At 36.7% G+C, this 21,879-nt stretch overlaps 1 protein-coding gene across 4 annotated transcripts in view; it reads left to right on the top strand.

The window, feature by feature from the left end:
* LRRTM4 (leucine rich repeat transmembrane neuronal 4) overlaps positions 1–17,470 on the top strand; it is a 774,692-nt gene extending 757,222 nt beyond the window's left edge. For all 4 annotated transcript variants that reach the window (NR_146416.2, NM_001330370.2, NM_001282924.3 and 1 more), the window contains one exon: positions 16,239–17,470. Coding sequence is in view for 3 of the 4 variants with exons in the window: in NM_001330370.2 (NP_001317299.1) it covers positions 16,239–16,460 (222 nt within the window). In the remaining variant the exon portion in view is untranslated. The remainder of the gene's footprint in view (positions 1–16,238) is intronic.

Here is a 21,879-nt window from a genome sequence, read left to right as displayed (position 1 = left end):
GAAAGGAAGTTGTGATGGGTCCCAAAAAATTCCACTACAAGGCAAACTCCTTTAGATATTAAGTCTCAAAAATAATCTTTTTTGGCTCAATTCCTGACTTTCCAGTCCTACATGGGTGGTGGTCCATTTTCTGGACCAACTTGGGTGGTGACTCCACATCCATGACTTTAGGCGACAGCTCCACTTCCACAATTTTCCAGGCTGGGGTCCTGCCCCCAAGGCTCCAGGCAGAAACAGCCTGGCTTGTTGAAACCAAGGAGCAATCAGTCTTTTCCCCTGGACCTATGGTGGGAGGGGCAGCCCAGATGGTCTCTGAAGAGCCTTTGGGTCATCCTTCCTTTTTCTTCCCTTTTCTAGAAGGAAAACTTACATTGGCAGCTGGATAGCTCTATAGTCCTCTCCTGGTGGGATCCAAGAAGTTCAGCAGTCTTCTTCATTCTTTCCCACTTTCTCTGTCTCCCTTAGTTCAAACTGGCAGTGTTTCAGTTTATATAATTTTTTGTTTGTTTTTTTTGTTTTGTTTTGAGACTGAGTCTAGCTCTGTCGCCCAGGCTGGAGTGTAGTAGTTCTATCACGGCTCACTGCAAGCTCCGCCTCCCGGGTTCATGCCAGTCTCCTGCCTCAGCCTCCGGAGTAGCTGGGACTATAGGCGCCCGCCACCACGCCCAGCTAATTTTTTGCATTTTTAGTAGAGACAGGGTTTCACCGTGTTAGCCAGGATGGTCTCGATCTCCTGACCACGTGATCTGCCCGCCTTGGCCTTCCAAAGTACTGGGATTACAGGCGTGAGCCACTGCGCCCTGCCTCAGTTTATATAATTCTTAATCACTTTATCAAGTAATGGTCCAGTCACAGCCTTATTGTTCTCTTTAGAACATGCTTTCTCTTTTTTTCTTTTTTGCAATATGCATGGGCTGAGAATTCTCCAAATCTTTAAGTTCTGGTTTCTTTCTGATTAATAATTTCTTCTTCAATTCATGTCTTGCATCTCATTGTTTTACTATAGGCAGTCAGGAGAATCCAGGATTCACTTGCAATATTTTGCTTAGAAATCTCCTTAGCTAAATATTCAGTTTCATCACTAACAATTTTTCTTCCTCTAAACACTACAACACATTCAACTGAGTTCTTTTTACAAAGACTCCAGTGACCAATCATCTGCTCCTAACTTCTGTCTGAGACCTGACCAGAATGACCTTTATCATCCATACCTCTACCACCATTCTGTTTATGATTGTTTATATCTTCTCTAAAAAGAATATATATAATACATCTAGTGGGTAGAGGCAAGGGGTGTTTCTAAACATGCTACAATGTACAGAATACCCTCTAACCCTCTTCTTTATTTGTGATTCCGCACCAGAATTAACTTTAACTTCTTCTATATTTCTACCAACAAACTCTTCATGACAACCTAGTATTTTTCTAGCATGTACCTCTAAACTCTTCTGGCCTCTACCCATGACCCAGATCCAAAACCATGCCTACATTTTTAGCTATTTCTTGGAGCAGCACTCCACTTCACAGGACCAAAATCTCTATTCATATGTTTGGATCGTCCTAACTCATCTGCATAGGCTAGGTGGCTTAAACAACATAAATTTGCTCCTTACAGTTCTGGAAGCCGGAAGTCCAAGATTAAGGTGCTATTAAGGTAGGTTTCACTCTGAGAACTCTTCTCTTAGGTTGTGGGTGACCACAGACTGTGTGCTCACATGACTGTTTTTGTCCAAGTACAGAGAGAGAGCTCTCTGTTATTTCTTTTCATGAAGACACTAATTCTAGCAGATCAGGAACCCACCTTGTGACCTCATTTAACTTTAATTACTTCCTTAGAGGCCCCATTGCCAAATACAACCACATTTGAGATGAAGGCTTTAAAAAATAAATTTTGGAGAAACACAAATATTCAGTCCACAGTGCAAAGAGTGTTAATGCCACTAACTAGACAAAGGGTATGAGAGCACTGTTTTTTTTCCTGGAATAGGGGAGAATAAATTCCCTAGTAAATATATGCCACCTTTTATGTTCAATGTGTCACAAAATCTTTTGTAAACCTTTTCATCACTTCCTACCTCCTCAATCCTAGGCGATAGAAAGGAAGAGAATGCCATTCTATCATTTGTTTTATTCTCCTCAATCTTCTGAGACTCTACTTGCACAACCAGTTAGTTCTCTCTTTTCCGTCAGTCATATTACATAAACTCTACCCATCAAGGGGATAGAAGTGAAAAGACACTAGTAGCTTGTTGATGTTATGTTATTTAAACACAAACTTCCTGCTTCACATGACATAAACACTGTTTTTTAAAATGCTATGTAATTTATGGCTTTCATTAAAGAGTTATACTGTGGTGTGTAGAGCCATGTTCCCACCATGTTGCCCAGGCTGGTCTCAAATTCCTGGCCTCAAGCAATCCTCCCACCTAGGCCTTCCAAAGTGCTAGCAATTCAGGCATGAGTCACCACACCTGTCCTACTTAATTAGTCTAAATCAATGAGTTTTGCTGCATGATGAGTTAAAACAATCATGGAGCCTTTTCATGTTTTCAGAATGATAAATACAAATTATCTGCTGTCCTTACAAATGGCACTTTGAGTTTCCATATAGAAGCCACATAAAATTAAATCATAATACACAGCAGAGAAAGCGACACACATTCATTGAAGTAGTTTGGGGTGAAGGGTAGTTAGTAATGAAATCAGAGTTTGAGAGGTGAGGGTAGAATTTTTGGTAGGAAAAGCAGAAAAAAGATTAGGGCAAAGAAAAACAAAAATAATATTATAGAAATGGTGTGGAGGAGGTCTAGATGCCCAGAAGAGCTTATATTCTGGGTGATGGCCAGGAAAAATAACAAAGTACAGCGTGGTGAATTTATCTAACTCCCCTGGAGTATGTCAAACAATCTGGATATTCAATTTAGCTTCATTCTGAAATAGGAGCTAATGGAGGTAGTCTGTAAAGGTAATGCTCTGTAGTGATGGAGAAGTGCAAGCATGTGACCATGAGGGTACATACTGGAGCATGGTATAACAGTTAGAGCCAAGTAAATAAGCCCTGTGATCTTTGGCATGGGTAGCGGCTGTAGTTGGGGGTGAGTGAGTGGACGATTTGAGAACAGCTTTTGCAAGCTATTCTCTGTAGTCTCACACATACAGATCATCTCCTCCTATGATTTACTACAACAAATGGCGAATTTCATGAATTATGTGACAATGCTTATTATTTCCAGTGTCAGAGGACATCCTTTTGTAGTCCCCCTACATATTAATATTTGAGCATCAGGTTGCTTTAAAGCAGAGATAAATTTAATGATCCTCCCCTAAGTGTCTCCTTGTCATTATTGCTTATTTGCTAACACTTTGGGGTTTTAATTCTTTTTCTTTTCCTTTAAATTTATCGCTTGATGGAAATAATTGGGAGGTTTGAATATTTTTCAACAGTGAGAGTCCTTATTAGCTTTTAAGTAGATAAAAATATCCTTTCTTCCCTATAGTGCAAAGTGGAATGGGCTATTACTACCATCTCAGTAAATTAAATTACTTACAAAAAGAAAAGAAATAGATTGTGAAAGTGTTTGGCCAAAGGAGTTCTCCAGCTGACTGAACATTTATGGGCACTTTGCCATCACTGCAAGGTAAATTCACCTACAAGTAGCTATTTAGAAAACATGTGTATAATGATGGCTGTTAAACTTACCCAACTGAATTGCACCTAACTTTAGACAAAAGAATAGAATATATACATAACCAAATTGATGGTAACTAAGAGGATAGCAGTTTAATCACCAGCAAGGATATAAATAGGGCCAAGTGAAGAGGCTCAAATTGGTGATACAGAATAATTAGTGGTAATGAGCTTAAGAAAAAAGAAAGTTTAGTTGGAGGCTCAAAAAACACAGGTGTGCACCGCATTTGGTGGTTTTTGATTGGGAAGCAGCCTGCTTTGTTTTGAGTCAAGCAATCTCCCGGCAGGCATAGGGAATTAGTTAAATCATACTGTGTACGCCCTGCTGGGCCTACATCTTTAGGCAAAAGCAACCTAAATTTAACATTAAGCGGTGTTGTCAACCTAGGTTGCACATTTGAATCACCAGGGATGCTTTCTAAACATAGTGTGGCCTGGGCCATACCCTAGAAATTTTGATTTAATTGATCTGGGATAGGGACCAGACAAGTGTTTTTAAAATCACTACAGATTTGTCAAAGTTGCAGCCAGGACTGAGAACCACTGCTCTAAAGGCATTTCGGATGGCTGAAGAAATCTCAAATGACTCCTCTTGGCTTCTGAATCGGGGTGGCAGGGGTTGTTTTGTTTTTCAGCAGCAGCTGAGAAAGCAGCCAAATTCATGACCTGTCCTTACACATCCCAGGCCTATGGTTAGTTTTTACTGCTCATTAGAAGGTAGAGATGATTTTTTTTGCAAAACGCTAAGTCAGTGTTGGGCTGGAAGGTGAGGATAATGGCTAAAGTGATCAAGCGTGTTCCATTCTATACAAGGGCAAGTTGTGGGTGAATTGGATACACCGAGATTTGACAATGAGTAGCTTTTTGATGTGTACAACCTGGGTAGTAGGCTGTTTATTGTACATATGTGGCCAGCTACCAGGGTAGCAGTAGCAGACGTGCTGTCTGTATATGGAAGCTACACGTACCAGCAGTCTATCTCTTGCTGACTTCATAAGCACCCATTCTTTGGCTCAGAAACCACCTGATAGTCATCTCCTTCCCTCTTCTTTCCTTCCTTGCCACTTTTCACACATCTCCAATATGGCATTTCACCACAAATGAAATTACATTACAAAAATCTGCTTATCTTTGTATTCCATATTAGACTACAGGTTCCTTAAGGTTATGGACAGCTTTAGTCATTCTAATATCTTTAGCTTTCCTCACAGTGCCAGGTATGCAAATATTTGTAGACTGAAAACGGTGGCCTGTGATTCTAGATGTCCTGTTTTAATTTGAAAGTAAGAATGGGTGGGAGATCGTACAGAAAGGAAAAGGAAAGTGAGACGCTCACAGCTTTAGAGGTAAACTTCTTCCAAATACAACTCAATTCTCTAATAAATATCTCTCAAATTCATACATTCTTATAGCACATATTTATTGAAGCATTCTACACACAGCAGCAAACTTGTCATAGAAGTTTTCTGACATCGTGAAGCTTACTTTGGGGTAAACTATTAGCAAAGGAGAAACATGAGCATCATTAAGAATATTTAACATTTAAAAAAATGCTATGAAGAAAATAAACAAGGAATTGAAACAGGAAATGGTTTACATATGTGAATCAGCGTGGGGTGACATTTTAAACAGGTGGTTAGAGAAGGCCCCTCTAGAAGCATGACATTTACGCTGAAACTCAAGCCCATTGCAGAAAAATGGGGTTGGAGGGGAAGGAGATCCCAGGCAAAGAGAATAGTGAATACAAAAGTCCAAGTACAGGAGGAAAAGGCTTGGTGAAATTGAGAAATACAACGAAGTCTTATTTTTGACTTCTACATACACACACACACACATATACAATAGCTGGAAAAAAAACATTGTTTATGATTAGATAACTCGTGAACCTGACCCCTTTTACAAAATCACCAAAGTTCTCCCAGGCCTTGAGTTATAAGCCATCATACACCCAGGGGCAGGTTTGCTGGCTTAAGAGTGTCCCTGTAAGATCGTCTCTAAAAGGTCAGTGGGCTTTTATCCTGCCAGATCATGTTTGATCTAAATGACCTGAATAGTAACTTCAGCACTCCCAACTGAAGGTTCAAGTCTGACTTCCAAGTACCAAGGTTACGTGAGTCCAGCTCATTGTCTGGGATGCACTGAGAGCTTTATTCTAGAGAAGACCTGGATCTTCACAGTGAAATCTGCAGTGCCTGCCAGCTGGGAGTGCTTTTCTACCTCGGCTTTACTGATTTGTATTATGCAGTCTAAACCACAGGGAAGTGGAATTAGGTTTGTCTCATTCTGTCAGTTCTTAATAAACTCCTTGAGTACAGCACCCTTACTTTATTCTTCTTTATATACCCAGCTCCTAGCACAAGGCCTAACTCTCAGAAAATTGGCCCACAACCTAAATGATTTTAGTTTTTTTAATGGTTAGAAACAAAAAAATCAAATGAAAATAAATATTTTTTAACACATGAAGATTAAATGAAATCCCAAGTCACTGTTTGTAAAGTTTTATGGAAACAGTCATGTTCATTCATTTATGTTTTGTTCAAGCCTATTCTCTCATGATAAAGGCAGACTTGAGTGGTTGTTACAGACTGCAGTAGTTATGGTAGAGACTGTATGGGTTGCAAGTCTAAAATGTTTACTATTGACCCTTTATAGAAAACGTTTGCCAACCTCTGTGATAAATATTTACCATGTGAATAATGAAATGAATACATAAATAAATGAACTATTATGGCAAATTCACTTTCATATAATTACTCCTTAATAGCATACACTCTATGGCAGGGATCCAGGTATTAACCTAGACCTTTACACATTTTATTTAAAATATGAGACCAGTATTATTTGTGAGTCATTCTGCCATGTTGTTCCAAAATATATTCAATCAGAATAAAAATTTTAATTGCATTTTCTAAATGGGCTTCTCCCCTTTTTGTAATTAAAAATACATCTCAATGCCTCTTTTCATGAAGACCAGCCAGTCTTCCAAGAAGTTACATTTGTACTCTATTAGACTCATGGTAATCATTTCACTGTATCAAGCATGTGTATGTCCTCTGCAGTTTTCTTCCTTCTGTGTCAGTCTGTAGGTTCTAAACTTTTACCATGGGATATGCAATTCTGCTTTACAGAGGTACAGGATAGAAAGAAATTCAATCACTTCACTTACATGTGAATTTCATTTCACTTTTACATTTGTTAACTAATTTCCTGGGTTTTACTGAATGCCCACTGTACTGTCAGATTGGAGGCATTGGGAGGGTCACGAAGTGAATATATGTTCAAAATCTGCAAAAGGCAAGCAAATCAGTTGCATCCTTCTCAGGCAAGATGCATGTTCTTAAGTAAAACAAGTTAAGGGCACTAGAAATGGTTTTATATAGATCCAAATTGAAGACTACACAAATTCATATGGAAACTGAAATAGGCTACTCTAAATATTGGAGAAACTGCAAGTGAACTTGAATGGAAAACTCTGTAATGCCGATTACACCTTCTTAGTACTGGCATTCCTGCTTTCATTTCCTTTTTCAAATTTCTGAGAAGGGATTAAAACAAACATATCTTAAATTGATCCTGTTGTATAGGCTGATAGGATTTGTTTCTGTTTGTTTACTTTTGCATGGTTTTAATTTTCCTGGAGGGAATTTGTGCCCAAGTAATAATCACTGTTTTCCGTTTTAGGAGAAACTTGTCTTCTGTATGTCATTAAAACTTCTACAATTATTTTTTTCACAAAGGAGAAAGTTATGTGATTGGAAATTCTATCATCTCTATTTTGTAGTAAGTACTTTGGAGGCAAATTTATGTAGATTCACTTAAACAGGTTGTTTGCTTACAATGCACTATTGGGGAGACTTTACTCGTTCTAATTTAGAGGCCAGAGCTACCGAAGGAAAGCCTTTAGAAATTAATACCAGCTAATTAATCCAGCTCATTAGCCTAAAACCTCACTGAATACTGCGAGTGCTGCTAATGTAATAAGCTTCCCAGTTAATGGAGTCAAAGCTAACTTCAAAGATGGCTAGTACCTCATTCATTAACTTAATCAACTCTCTGGGCACCTCATAGACAACAAATCCTGGTAGGAGAGCAATAAAGATGGAAATGGATCTTTGTTCTCTTATCCCCTGACTGACTTAAAAGTTAAAATTTGGATAACTGTTGAGTACACAAATAGTACATGTTCCCACCTCTAAATAACAACAGGACAAGACAAACAAATGCTATAGAGAAATTTTTGTCAAAATGAAAGTTTAAAATTGTCCCAATAGTCCAATCAGTGTAAAAAGCCAACATCTAGTGTGTTGAGTATTGTACATTTTGCGTGCTCAATCTGCTATACACATTTTAGCCCATAAGAAAAGAAATGGAAATGAGGCATCAATTTGCACCACTGTCTTCTTGTTTTCCTTTTAAGATTTTCTAAAATAAATGTTAATAAATTTAATGAATTATTCCATAAATTAGATTATTTTTTAGATTTATTATTTATTCCATCTTCAAAACAAAATAAAGAAAGGGTATGATTATTGTTCTTTCATTCAGCAAATATCTAAGTATCTGAGCAACGTTTTAGATGAGGGAGTTCAATGAGAATACATTTTAAATTGTTTCTATTTTCATTCATTTTTAGTAAATCTTGCCTTCCTCGTCTTCTTTCGAATTCTGGAATTTTTCTTATTTCTGCAGATTTTTCTCTATTATAGCTTCTCTTTAGGGAGGGAGATTTTTGTGTATATCAAATATTAGGAGCTCAGAGATTGCATGGGCCTCCATTTAAAGAGAGGTTTGGTTTGATGAATGAACCAGTTGACTATGACATTGGGGAAAGAAAAAACTGCTACAGGTGAAGGCAGATGAACAAGAAATAAAACAGTAGGGAGAGAGATTTTGTTTTAGGAAGTCACTTGAAGAATTACCTTCTTTAAATATGATGATAGAACAAATCAAACTCTTTTAAATTGTTCAAAGAGGTTTATTCTAATTCAATATGAGAGAGCACAGCCTGGAGAAAAGATAAACCCAAGAAGCCTTGAGTAAGTGGTCACTAGGCAGTCAGAATGCAACTCTGTTTTATACAATTTAGGGAAGCAAACGTTACAGGCAAACTCATGAATCAATACATGGAGGTCATTCATTGGTTTGGCCCAAAAAAGTCAGAATATACGGAAGCCAGGGCTTACAGGTCATAGATGGATTCAGAGATTCTTTAATTTGCAAATGATTGAAGGAACAAAGCTATGTCTAAAAACTTGAAGTTCATAAAAAGGAATGTTTAAGTTAAGATAAAGAAGTCTACCAATTATCATGTGATACTGTGCTAGAGTCAGGCTGTGAGAGCAAACCACAGCATACTGGGTCAAAATGATCTGTAGGGGTGCATGACTTAATCCTTGCCTGGCATGGCCTTAGGTCTTGCCTATAATTTGGTATCTTATTGCCACAAAGCATCTGCTCTTTCAGTCTTATGATAGCTTTTTTAACATTAATGCTGGTCAATTGTGTTTAAACTTCCCCAGGGAGTGGGTATAATGAGGCATGTCTGACCTCCTGTTTTGCCATGGCCAGGAACTCAGTTTTTTTCTAGGTCCCCTGGGCCAAAAGAAGGTCTGTTCAGTCAGTTTGGAGGGCTTAGTTTAATTTTAGTTTACAAATAGAATGTGAGTTTCTGGGTTCAGATATGCCCTTGCTTTCCTTAATATTCTATAACGTGAACCCTGTGAGTAAGGCTGAGGCTCCTTTTCTTCCTATAACTCCAGTGCTCTCTCTCATTTTACACAGGTTCAGGGAACTGCTCAAAACTCTGCATTTTTCTCCTTCTTTACCAGCCCTGGATACACCATGCTAGTGAGAGATTCATAGTTTTGCAAATAATTTTTCTCCAGTTTTTTCTATAGCTGCATCGAACGATATGCTAGAACATTTTTTGTTTAGTATATTGTCCTCTCTGTCTTGCAGAAGTTTCTAAGAGTTTTGGTTTGGTGATGAAAAAAGAAACACGAAAAAACTAAAAACACTTCATTTTACAAAACATTGGGATGGGAAATTGGAGTTAGTAATCACAGATCAGGACTCAAATTTCCATCTTAATACAGAACAGTTAACTTTTGAGCTTAAGGTACTTTCTCAAAATAGTGTTGTAAAATAAGTTTTCTAGTCATCAGAATAATCAATTTTTAGTTGTCTGGGAGCTGTCTTATCTTTGCAAAACTTCCTCCCCATGACCAGAACTGAGAAGTTGATTCAACTTAATCTATATAAATATTGAACATTGTAAGTATAGTAAAATGGTCAGGGATAGACTACTAAGATAAAATAATCAAGATCTTTTCATGTATTAATGAAAGTGGTACCAGGGACCACATGATATAGTCCTTTTTGGTAATGGAAGCTGCTCTACTGGTTTTACTGTATAACAAATCACACCAAAGCTGATTGGCTAACAACAGAAAACATATATTTGAGTCTGTGGAGGTTGGCAATATGAGCTAGGCTTAGCTGAGCAATTCTACATATCTAGGGTCTTTTGCGGACTTTGCTGTTGTGCACATGTGCTTGTGATGAGCTCCCGTGAGTGCTGCAGAGACTGGCTGGTCTAAGATGCCAGTCATTCCACATAGCCTCCATCCTCTGGCAAAATAATCTAAGCACGTTCACAGGGCAATGGCTAGATAGGTTAGGCTCCTGGAACTCACATAATGTCACTGTCACTGTGTTATAGTGGTCAAGAGAAGTTACAAGGCCAGCCTGTATTCTAGGCAAAGGGAAGTAGACACCTCACCTATTGGTGAGGGGTGCTAGAAATAACTGTAGCCATAATGTAATCTACCATAAGTGGAATACGTAAAACTTGGGAGCTTTCACACTTACATGTCTGTCAGGTGCAGGAAGCCATTTGGCAGCCAGGATATGAAGATAACATGCTGAAACTATCAGGCATGTTTGATTGACAGGACCCTGAGAGGATGCTGATGACATTGTGTTCCTAGGTTCAGTTGTTCCTAATACTCAGTGCTATCTTTGCTCATCCTTTAGTTTAGCCATTATATCCTTTCTTGTATTCTATGAGCCAATTAAATTTCCCTTTTGTCTAAGTTAAATGAGTTGAGGTTCTATCAGTTTAATAAAAGTTCTTGAAAAAAACCAGTACCCAAACTTGTTTACATGTACTTATTCCTTGTCCATTCTTGTCACATACTAATATAGCCAGTAGAATAACAGCTAAGTTATATATTCATTTAGCTATGGACATTCATTTTAAAATTAATTTTACTTTCAATAAGTGAAGTGTCTATCTTCATTAAGCAATTCAACTGCATTGAATTCTTTATCTGGATTTATATAGTGGTACTTTTTAAATGCCCTGAGTAGTTAGACACTATCCTTTAATTCTGAAAATTAGAGATGAAATGTCATTTAGAAAATTGAAAATCAACTTTTTATGACTTCAATTGAAAGAACTCATGCTGAAATGTGAACAATGTTCGTGAAAAGTTAACAAATAAGACCAATGATAGTCCATGGTAATTTTAAAATGATCCGACTCTTAAGCGACTTACAACTAATGCTAATACCTTTGAGAAAAGAGGGTCACAATATCGGAATTTCATGCTCATAACAAAACTGAACTTCAAAAGCCTTTCACAATCATATATATCAAGAGTCCATTTCACATTGCTCTCACATTTACTATACAGACATGTTCATTTCTCACTTTAAATATAATTATGGTAGATTTAGAATTATGGGATTTGAATCAATTTTCAGATTGTGAAACTCCACATAGTCCTCTATAATTACCCTGCCTCCCAACATTGAAAAATACGCTCTCTCCCTAACTTCTCTTTTTGAATTACTAACACTATGAACCCCTATAATTGAAAAAAATGTGTCACTTTTAACTTCTTCATTGTATTTGAAGAAAAAAATACTCGAGCTGAACAATAAATGATGTTTTTAGAAAACCAGAACATACACAAAAGTTTCTTAGCTTCTTAGCACAGAAAATAGGACTGAAGGGCTTGTTAATGAGCCAATCTATGAGCCATCATGTGCTAGCATCTCTCTAAATGGAAACTGTAAGACAAAAGACATGTCACCTTTCAAGAAAGACACTGTCAGTGTTGAGTAAAACCAGAGTGTGACTATGGCCCTTCAGTGTATTCCTTCTTTGTTCAGTATCAGGGAATACTTTCAGCATCTTCTGAAATTTATAGAGGTCAATGAGTTGTCATTATTATCCCTATTTTCAGAGGAGTTACTTGAAACTCAAGAGGATTAAAGTGACTTATAATTAGTCATAATGGTTCCTCCCTTTCACAACCTACTTCAGATTTAAACTATCCCTGAATGAAAGAACAATTTAATGTGATTTATGTTAAAGTGCTCATATACTTCAGAGTAGCAAACAGCAGAATTTCAGAATAGTAGAATATATTTCTCTATGTGATTTTTAAATTCTGTGCTCCACATCCATTATCTGTAAATAAAGTGCAGCTTCCAATGCAGTCAATGAGCAGTCAAGTGTTCTAACGAGGACATCTTTAAATAGTGTTGTTCTGCTGTGCTATAGAGTGGAGCTCATCAGAGAGCTGATGGAACACAGAACCATTTGGAGAGGCTCTGAGAACACATTTACAAAAATACCAAATCTGAATTAAGCAAAACTTAAGAATACTTTGTTTTGACTACTGGAAAGGAAACAATGACACACACAGGGACCCAGGTGGTTAATGTACTGTACACTATTACTGTAAAGTACAAGACCTCAGCCTCTGAGCTCCTCAGAAACCACGAATTCAGTTGATTACATAGTGCCCTATAGAATACACTTGAAGAGTAAAAGAGCAAATATTTCAGATACTCTTTCAAAGCTTGCCAATGCACTTGGCTTTTGAATTCTTGCTATTGGTCTGCTGTGCAGGAGGGAACTTTACAATGGTTTTTACTCTCCAAGAGGTTTTAAGCCTGCCTCAATTACAATAGAGAAAATGACATGAGCCCTCTTTTAAGTGCTGTAAAAAAATAAACTGCAATTGTAATAGCAAAACAAATTTTCTCAGTTCAGAAATGGTGTAATATGTAAACGTAAAGCTTTGCAGTTAATGCAGGTCCCTTGACTTTTAAGTCAACTTAATTCAAAGACAAATACCATGATTTCTTAGCTATGAAATTGTTATCTCCCACTATAGTTTAAATTAAAAGGCTTTAAGTAAACATTGCAAATTCAACAATGTTCACTTATGAGCTACTTATTTTCATCTGTAGATTCACCTGGTTGTGCAAAAAGATCCCTAAGGCCCTGATTTCATCTCACATTCACTGTTCTATACATGTTTGTGAATTCAAGTATCTCTTCTTTGTGAAGACCATTGACAGAGCTACAAGACGGTGAACAAAACCACAACCCATGTTTAATGTTCATGTTGATGTCTTTTAGTAATTTGGCTAATTTGTAGAAAATTAGTCATGTATTTAAGTTAAAGTGTAGAATAAATGTTCTATAATCAGTGAATGTTGTTTCCATTTGGAAATAATTTGCTGAATTTTTATGTGATTTTCAAATTATGTTACTTCACCAGTTAACAAGAGAGTACGAATGGGCTGTATTACTCTTAGGAAATCCCTTTTGAAAGCATTCTTCCCACTGAAATGTCAGCACAAAGTGTCTTCTTACATTTCGATGCTTTCTTGGAGTATAAGTGACCCATGGCACCAATCCCACATATCTCCAGGAATCTGACACCCTGAAAAATCCTATGAGGTTTCCTAAAATAGGTCCCGCTGGCAAACATTTTACGTCTGAACCTGTACTGATTGAAAGAGGTCTCATTGAATAAGATATAATAAAAACAAAACAAAACAATAGACTTGGGGTGAGGGAGATTAGAGCTAACTTTTATTTAGTATCTAGTAATTCGGCCATGTCACTTTACAGTCTGTTCCTAGCTCTCTCTGTCAGCACAGAAATTAAGGTCCAATTTTTAAAATATCACTATCAATCACAACTCTGACCTAGTATGTATTTTTTGCAATTCTCCTTTTTACAGAATAGAATGGCATATTCAAGATTTTATCAATAGCTTGTTTGATGAGAAATACTCTTGTTACTATTTTGTAAAAGACTTCCTGAAAATAGTTTTTACCTTCCTTTAGAGGTAAAACAACAACAAATCAGAAACAAAGCATTACATATTGATTTAATTTTCCAACTCATTGTGAAAAACAGTGAATTATACAAGTTAATAGAAGTGAATAGTAAAAACAGAATGGGAATTTATCTAGGCTATTGCCAGTCACTGTAAAATAAATTGTAATCTGAATATGTGCTTTGATCAAGTATTTTTTCAAAAACATGGTCTACCATGATTCCCAATTTTCAAACTTCAAAATGTGTCCCAGTACACACATTGATATGCACATACATAAATTTAAAACAAAACTCTTATGAACAACTTATCTTTATACTCTGATACTTTCTATTCTAGCTAATTTAATTTTTTAAATGCTTATTTGGATTCACAAAATTGATTTCATAACCTACTAATGAGTTGCATTTGCGCATAGAAAACATTGCTTTAATCTAAGACTTAAAAACTGTGAGGAGGTGACTTTCCCCTTAATAAGCAGAGAGGTGTTAAAAACATAATTCTCATAAGAATAGAGAGGGAATTTGTGTCAACGTTGTATTAATCACATTAATAAAAATACCAGCAAGAAAATACTAGAGCTAGTTTTAAGAGCATTTGAGGAACTTGCATAGTAAACAGACGAATGACATCTAAAAATAAGTTTGCTGAATTATATTTAAGACTGGTTAACTCCCTGCAGTATAGGGAGCCATAAGACCTCTGGTGGTTAACTCTAGTAAATTATAAAATCAAAACAACTTAATTTCTGCACTTTTAGATACAGAAGGATTCAAACATAGTCCAGTCGGGAGACTGACAAAATATCAGTTATTTTAAGAAAGAAATTTTAGAAAGAATGCTAACTGGATATAGAGTTATTAACCAAGTTTATGCAAAGGCTAAGATATTGCTGTGGTATCACAGAAACAGCAATGTTAGGAAGTAGCTACCACCCCTACAACTTACAGGGCTGAGGGAACGAAAGGAAGATCATTAAGACTTAAAAGCTTGGAGGAGAAGCTTTGTGGTGATGAACCTCAAATCTCTCTGGTGCTAGTGCTGGTGTCTCTGAGGAGGGCTTGATGAGATCAAATGTTGGATATACTGCAAATGTTGGAAATACTACAAAGAGGCAGCACCTGCTGCTGTGGGAATAAATTGATATAGCCAGAATGAAGACATGCCATTAGGATAAATTCCTGGAGGAGGAAGAAACAAAACAGGAAACCAACAATGGGAGCAATTCCCTCTCCCTGCCAAGTCTTGCCATCTCCCTCCATTGGCAAAGCCTAACAGGAAACCACAAATAAAACAGATATGTGGTTTGCAAAGTCCAAACCTCAGCATCCTAAAAGCAACCACAGAAGGGAACTTAGAGCTGAGAGTCAATAGTTTAAAACCTGCCACAACATCTAACCTTACAGGGCAATGGAGCCTTTGCACTTTTCTCATCTGTGGATTGTTCATCAAGAGTGTCAAATTGTAACTCGCAAGTATGAGAAATATTCTAGCATGAGAACAACAAGTAAGCAAGTATCATTTGCTTTTTCCTAAATTTGGAATATATTTATCTTTATCAGAAATTTATGGCTTAATTAAAAGCTCCACCAAAATTCAAAATTATTATAACTGATATTTTCTGCTTTTTATATTAAATGAATTTCTGCAGACCATTATTCAGGTCTGTTACGCTAACATTAGACACATATTTGGCTTGTTACCTTGAAAACCAATAATAACATTACATATTATGAACATAAAGATGTGCCTTCTCCCATGATTCCAGAGTTCTTTGGTCCAGTATTGATATGTGATAGAGTGTTAGAATTAATCTATAGGAAATTGTGATTATTTTTTAAAACTAAATAAAAGTTACACATGATGATAGTAAAGATTTCAATTGTGTATAGGTATCAAATAAAAAGTTACATATATGTTTATATATATAAATAAAAGTGTAAATATATTTATTTACACAAAACAGATCATACCATACATTCTTTTGCACCTTAATTATTTTTCTACTTAGTACCATATCTTGCCGTATTACAACAGATAGATCCTCCCCTATATTGTTAAGATCTACATTCAAATGTAGGATCTACATAATCAATTTTAAAATTCCCTGGGCATTTAGGTTGTTTCTAACTTTCTGTTATTGCAATGGCTAGCTAGCTAGCTAGAGCAATGAAAAGTTGAAAGATACTGTTTTATGTACAAAGTCTATACACATAATATGCTGACAAAACAATATTGAGTTAAATAGTAATCATCATTTTGTTAATGTTTATTTGTAGTTGAATTTGTAGCTGATGACTTGAAACAGCATGAAAGAGAACAAAAATACAACCTGATGAGTGCTGTCCTATCTTTCCAAAGCAATTTTATAATCCACCCATCTTTCTATTTCTCATATCCAGATGCCACACCACATGAAGCCCTTGCCATATTACAGCTATGACCAGCCTGTGATCGGGTACTGCCAGGCCCACCAGCCACTCCATGTCACCAAGGGCTATGAGACAGTGTCTCCAGAGCAGGACGAAAGCCCCGGCCTGGAGCTGGGCCGAGACCACAGCTTCATCGCCACCATCGCCAGGTCGGCAGCACCGGCCATCTACCTAGAGAGAATTGCAAACTAACGCTGAAGCCAACTCCTCACTGGGGAGCTCCATGGGGGGGAGGGAGGGCCTTCATCTTAAAGGAGAATGGGTGTCCACAATCGCGCAATCGAGCAAGCTCATCGTTCCTGTTAAAACATTTATGGCATAGAGAAAAGAAAAAGAGAAAAAAAAACTGCTTGAAGAGGGCAGCGAATGCACCTGCAGCATTACCGGGAGGACTGCAGAACTTTCTTTGCTTTAAAACATAAAACAAACAAAAATGCTCCCGGATGTAAATAGTAAGAGTGTCAAGTTCTTATAAAAATAGATTTCACCCTAGCTACATATAGGTTTGTTTGTATATTTGATTTTTCTACACTGCATGGTTCCTGGGCTGGAGAACCACAGGGGAGCAAATAAACAGGGGTGGGTGGGAAGCTAGGGAAACAACCGTTTTCCTCTTTAGGTGTGTGTAATTCTCACAGATTTTATTTAAATTGCTTTCATTTATTTTTTCTTTAAAAATGCTGTTTGTTCTTGTTTTGTTTGTTTTAATTTTTTTCTTTCCTGGTCAAGTTTCTAATACAAAACATGAGCATTAAAGCTTATGTTGTACCAAAAGAAAATGTGCTTTACCACGGACCACGGAGAAAGTTGACCACAAAGTTTGACAAAACTACTGGAAAACCCAATAAGTCTGGGTGAATGACCCTTCATGACAAATGCCATATATGGTACATGATAGAAGGAATTTTGTTTTGTCCCATTGGCAGCCCTCACTGTGTAGGATGCCTGAGAGAGCCATGAAGATCTCCGAATGAGAAGACCAGCAGAATCATTCTCATGTGGACTAAGGCTATAAGAGAGATATGACCATGGGCTCAATGAATGAAACTGCCAAGCTGACAAATTTCTAAACACAAGATAATGTGTAACATTGCTTTTTAAATTAATTATCAATTAGCTTTTGTGTAGTTTTTATCAATAAAAGAAAAAATATTGAAAAATAAATATATTATTTTGTGGTTGGTATACCACAGCCCACCTAATGCTGAGTGCTTTATCTGTATATTGTGGAATGCTTCTAGTCTATATCAGGGTACTTCAATAAGAATCAGTTGGTATCTATCAAGTGTTTTCTGTGTGTTCCATGGTCAGATAGGAAGGCCCTGTGAAGTGCAGAAAAGGAATATGAGACGTGGTTTATGCCTGGTATGGTTTGTCTGTGTCCTTACCCAAATCTCATCTTTAATTGTAGTTCCCATAATCCCCACATGTTGTGGGAGGGACCCAGTGGGAGGTAACTGAATCATGGGGGTGGTTACCCCTGTGCTGTTCTGGTGACAGTGAGTAAGTTCTCACAAGGTCTGATGGTTTTATAAGGGGCTTCCCCCTTAGCTCAGTTCTCATACTTCTCCTTGCTCCAGCCATGTGAAGAAGGACGTGTTTGCTTCCCTTTCTGCCATGATTGTAAGTTTCCTGAGGCCTCCCCCGCCATGCTGAACTGTGAGTCAATTAAAATTCTTTTCTTTATAAATTACACAGTCTTGGGTATGCCTTTATTAGCAGCATGAGAATGGACTAATACATGCCCCAATACACTTCACAATTATTTTCAGAGCTATGTGACCTTACTCTAAATAAAATTATATAATAATATGAGAAAAAGTAAGTATCCATGGAAGGGTTAGAGGTTGTCAGACCTTATAGAAGTGAAAGAACTGTGTGGAAATTGGTTACTAACTAGGAAGATGGATAGCATCACCCATTTTTTTTAACAAAGGAGATCACTCCGTGCACATCAGTTGTGACATTTTCTCTCAACTTCTTTCATGTTGTAATGCTACATCTTAGCAATTCTCTAATTGTGGACATTCTCCTGATGTGTCCACTGGTGTAATTTGCCTAGTTTTATTTTTAAAACTAAATTATACTACAAAATTTATGTCACCCTTTATTTGGACAAGTTTCATGTTTTAAGGCATGCTTACTTACAGTGGCCCTGCTGAGTGTTCCAGAACCAAGTTAATAGCTGCCATCCATTTAATTCCAAATTCTGCTGAATTAATAAAAGAGCCTTGTAAATACCATCACATCACAGCAAACTAACTGAACATGTTTTGTTTTCTCTCCCTCAAAGAAGGTCTGTTTTACTACCACTTTAAACAAAGCTTGAAGTTAAATTCTATCCCAAAGGATACAAATAGTATGTCACATTAAAGCAAAATTCAATTGAGGGAAGTTTTTTTCATGTTGGAACACAGGGCTATTGCTGTTGAATTCTGTTATCTTTCCTCTTAATATTATATTCTGGGTTACATGTGTTTTCTTTTTTTTTTTTTTTTTTTTTTGAGACGGAGTCTCGCTCTGTCGCCCAGGCTGGAGTGCAGTGGCACGATCTCGGCTCATTGCAAGCTCCGCCTCCCAGGTTCACGCCATTCTCCTGCCTCAGCCTCCCGAGTAGCTGGGACTACAGGCGCCCGCCACCAGGCCCGGCTAATTTTTTGTATTTTTAGTAGAGACGGGGTTTCACCCTGTTAGCCAGGATGGTCTCGATCTCCTGACCTTGTGATCCGCCCGCCTCGGCCTCCCAAAGTGCTGGGATTACAGGCTTGAGCCACCGCGCCCGGCTACATGGGTTTTCTTAATCATTCAAGTAGAATCAATTTACTAGAAGTTCAAAAATTAAAGATAATTCTTTGGCATTGTGATTTTGTTTTCAGAAACTATTCAATACATTTGGAATATGTCTTCCCAAATTACAAGGATTTTTTGGTGGGGGTCTTTCTGAACTACAAGGATTCTCTTAATCCTTCTTATCTTCTCTATCTATCCAATGTCCCCCATATACCTTATCCACCACACCACCCCTTCCAGAATTGATTTATGAGAGGTCACACGTGAAAAATCTCGATCAAATTTGGCTGATGTCAGCTCTAATTTTAATTCTGTTTCTTATAATCAAAAAGTCATAAATACATAAGACTCTTCATGTTATTTAAAACTGCCATATTTGGCCAACAGTTGCCTCAAGGTTAATATGAAATAAGTGAACTACTAGCTAAACAGATAGTATTATAAAAAAGTTGTGTCCTATTTATATGAAAACTTTCAAAGAACTTATTTAAAATGTAATTTACATATGCCAGAACAGTTTACACTGAGCTCCAGAAATCTATGATTAAAACAAACAAACAAACAAAAACTCAAACCAAATTTACTTTAGCAGGCTTGGAAAAGTCCTCAGTTGAAAAATTCAGGCTTTATACTGTATGAAGGGTCAAGCAAGTTTTCAGATAAAACAGTGTGTGTGTATATATATGCTATTTATATACACATACACAAATAAATAGTATATATATTTATTATATATACAAATATATGTATATAGTGGTATTTCAACAAAGGGGTTAGGAAGAAAATAGGATTATTCATCACTTAAGCCCAAAAGTCAATTATTTTTATGCTGCAACCCTGGTGTAACCAAGGAGGATGAAAGGCTTCTATTAGTCAACACTCAGGATAAATTATCTTCTGGGCCTAAAAATGATAGGGAACAAACTTGTCTATGGAGGGCACTTTCATCCCTTTTTTTGTTAATTATCATGCTTTGCTATGCAAACTGATTGCCCCAGAGTCCTTCTTCCTTTACATGGAAGAGTGTAATTGTGAATTGTGACCCTAGATAATGTATAGATTTTTTCACTTTCTTCTAGAAGTGAGGAATTATGTTGATTGTACTTATTTTTTATGTTGAAATGTTAAAGAGCCCTCTCAAAGAAAGTTATGCTTTATTTCAAGACTATCCTAATTAGTAATTTGATTTTACACTATAATGCTTATTGAATTTCTGAAGGCTATGCAGGTTGTAATTTCAAAGTTGAGGAGTCTCATGGAGTATTTATAGAGCAAGGGCATTAAAATCATGCCTAAAAGCAATTGTGAATGTGACAGAATACAGATTGGAACAATCAACTATCCAAACATTCTGATTAACTTTTTTCATAAATATTCTTTGTAGTGCTGAGTTTGCTTTACTTATTTCAAGATGCAATAAAGAAACAGCTTAGAACAGAGGACTGATTGGTATATGTTTAGGTGTAACTGTGGTTTAACTTCGCATCTTATTGTACCTCTACTCACAGATTGGCGGGCCTAACCCCAGCATGTCTGATCCAGGTCTGATATGGGGTCTGAGAATGTCTTTCTATGTCCCCAGATGATGCTGAGGCTGCTGTACGTGCACTACATTTTAAGAACCACTGCCATAGAGTGTAGATACTTACATCTCTTTAGGTTGAGGACTCTGTATGAAGACTCAAAATTTGCATTTAATATTTACTTAGAATTTAATGTTAAATTAATCTTTAAAGTAAGAATTAATTTAAAGCACGTAGTAGTTTTATATGTTCATGCAATGTGAAAGGCTCGTATCTTTACATACAGAGCATTTTCTAAAATATGCTGTGTAACACTAACAGATGATGCTCTCTGTGAAAGCAAAGAAGCGAAAAATAAACATCAGTAGCAGTAACAACAACAACAAAAGAGGTTTATATGATCAAATTAAATTCAGAAAATATTGCATATGATATGCTCCCTTTGGGAACTCACAAGGCAATTTAACATTTAAACAATATCAGACATACTGCAGTCAAGAAACCCATTTAACTTTGTTTAACCTGGAGTTTTCTAAACATATTAAACTACAGTATCCTTCCTTAATTTAATATCTAAAAAAAATCCTGCAGAACTAATTTTCTATAGAACTCATTTGGGAAATGTTAATTTAAAGAATGTTATTTCTTTGACCATCAAGAAAAGCATGTACCTTTGCAGATAACTATTTCTACATTTACAAATGACACAGTGTACACCTATTTCTGAGATGCATGTGGATTTTTTAAAATCAAAGACAATATATTTTAATCTCTCTAACAATAAAGCAAATGTCAAATATACCTGGATTAAATGAAAATGAATAATTAAAATGATGAAAATTTGATATCATGAATGAGAAGTAGATCTCTCCATAGACAACATTCCTATTCCATTGGGGATTAGACTCATTGTTTCTAAAGTGTAAGGCATTTTAAAATCAAAATAAACCACCAAAAAGTGCATGAAAATGTGGAGAGCCTTTATTATCTGAGTTAACAAGTTCCTGGTAAGTCACTGGGCTTAGATGATGTCAATCATTCATCTGTTTTCTGGGCCAGAGGTGCCCCTCAGACAGGTGATAGTAATGCTTGCCGGAAGGGAAGAAAGAAAGACCAACACGAACCTTGGCTCATCGTATCAAAGTTATTTCCTTATAGAAGCCAGGAAATTGATTATGGTTTTAGAATAAATTTTAGACTTACTGTACTCATTATTGTTTCCTTTTCAAAATGACATAAGAATAAAAATGAGGTCAGATATGAGCTCAGATTTTGTACTAGTTAAGAAAGCTATTCTA

This window comes from Homo sapiens, chromosome 2 (genome assembly GCF_000001405.40).
Source record: "Homo sapiens chromosome 2, GRCh38.p14 Primary Assembly".
In the NCBI taxonomy this organism is placed as follows: Eukaryota; Metazoa; Chordata; class Mammalia; order Primates; family Hominidae; genus Homo; species Homo sapiens.
Note: the sequence above shows the minus strand (reverse complement) of the source record. Positions and strands in the feature narration are given on the sequence as shown.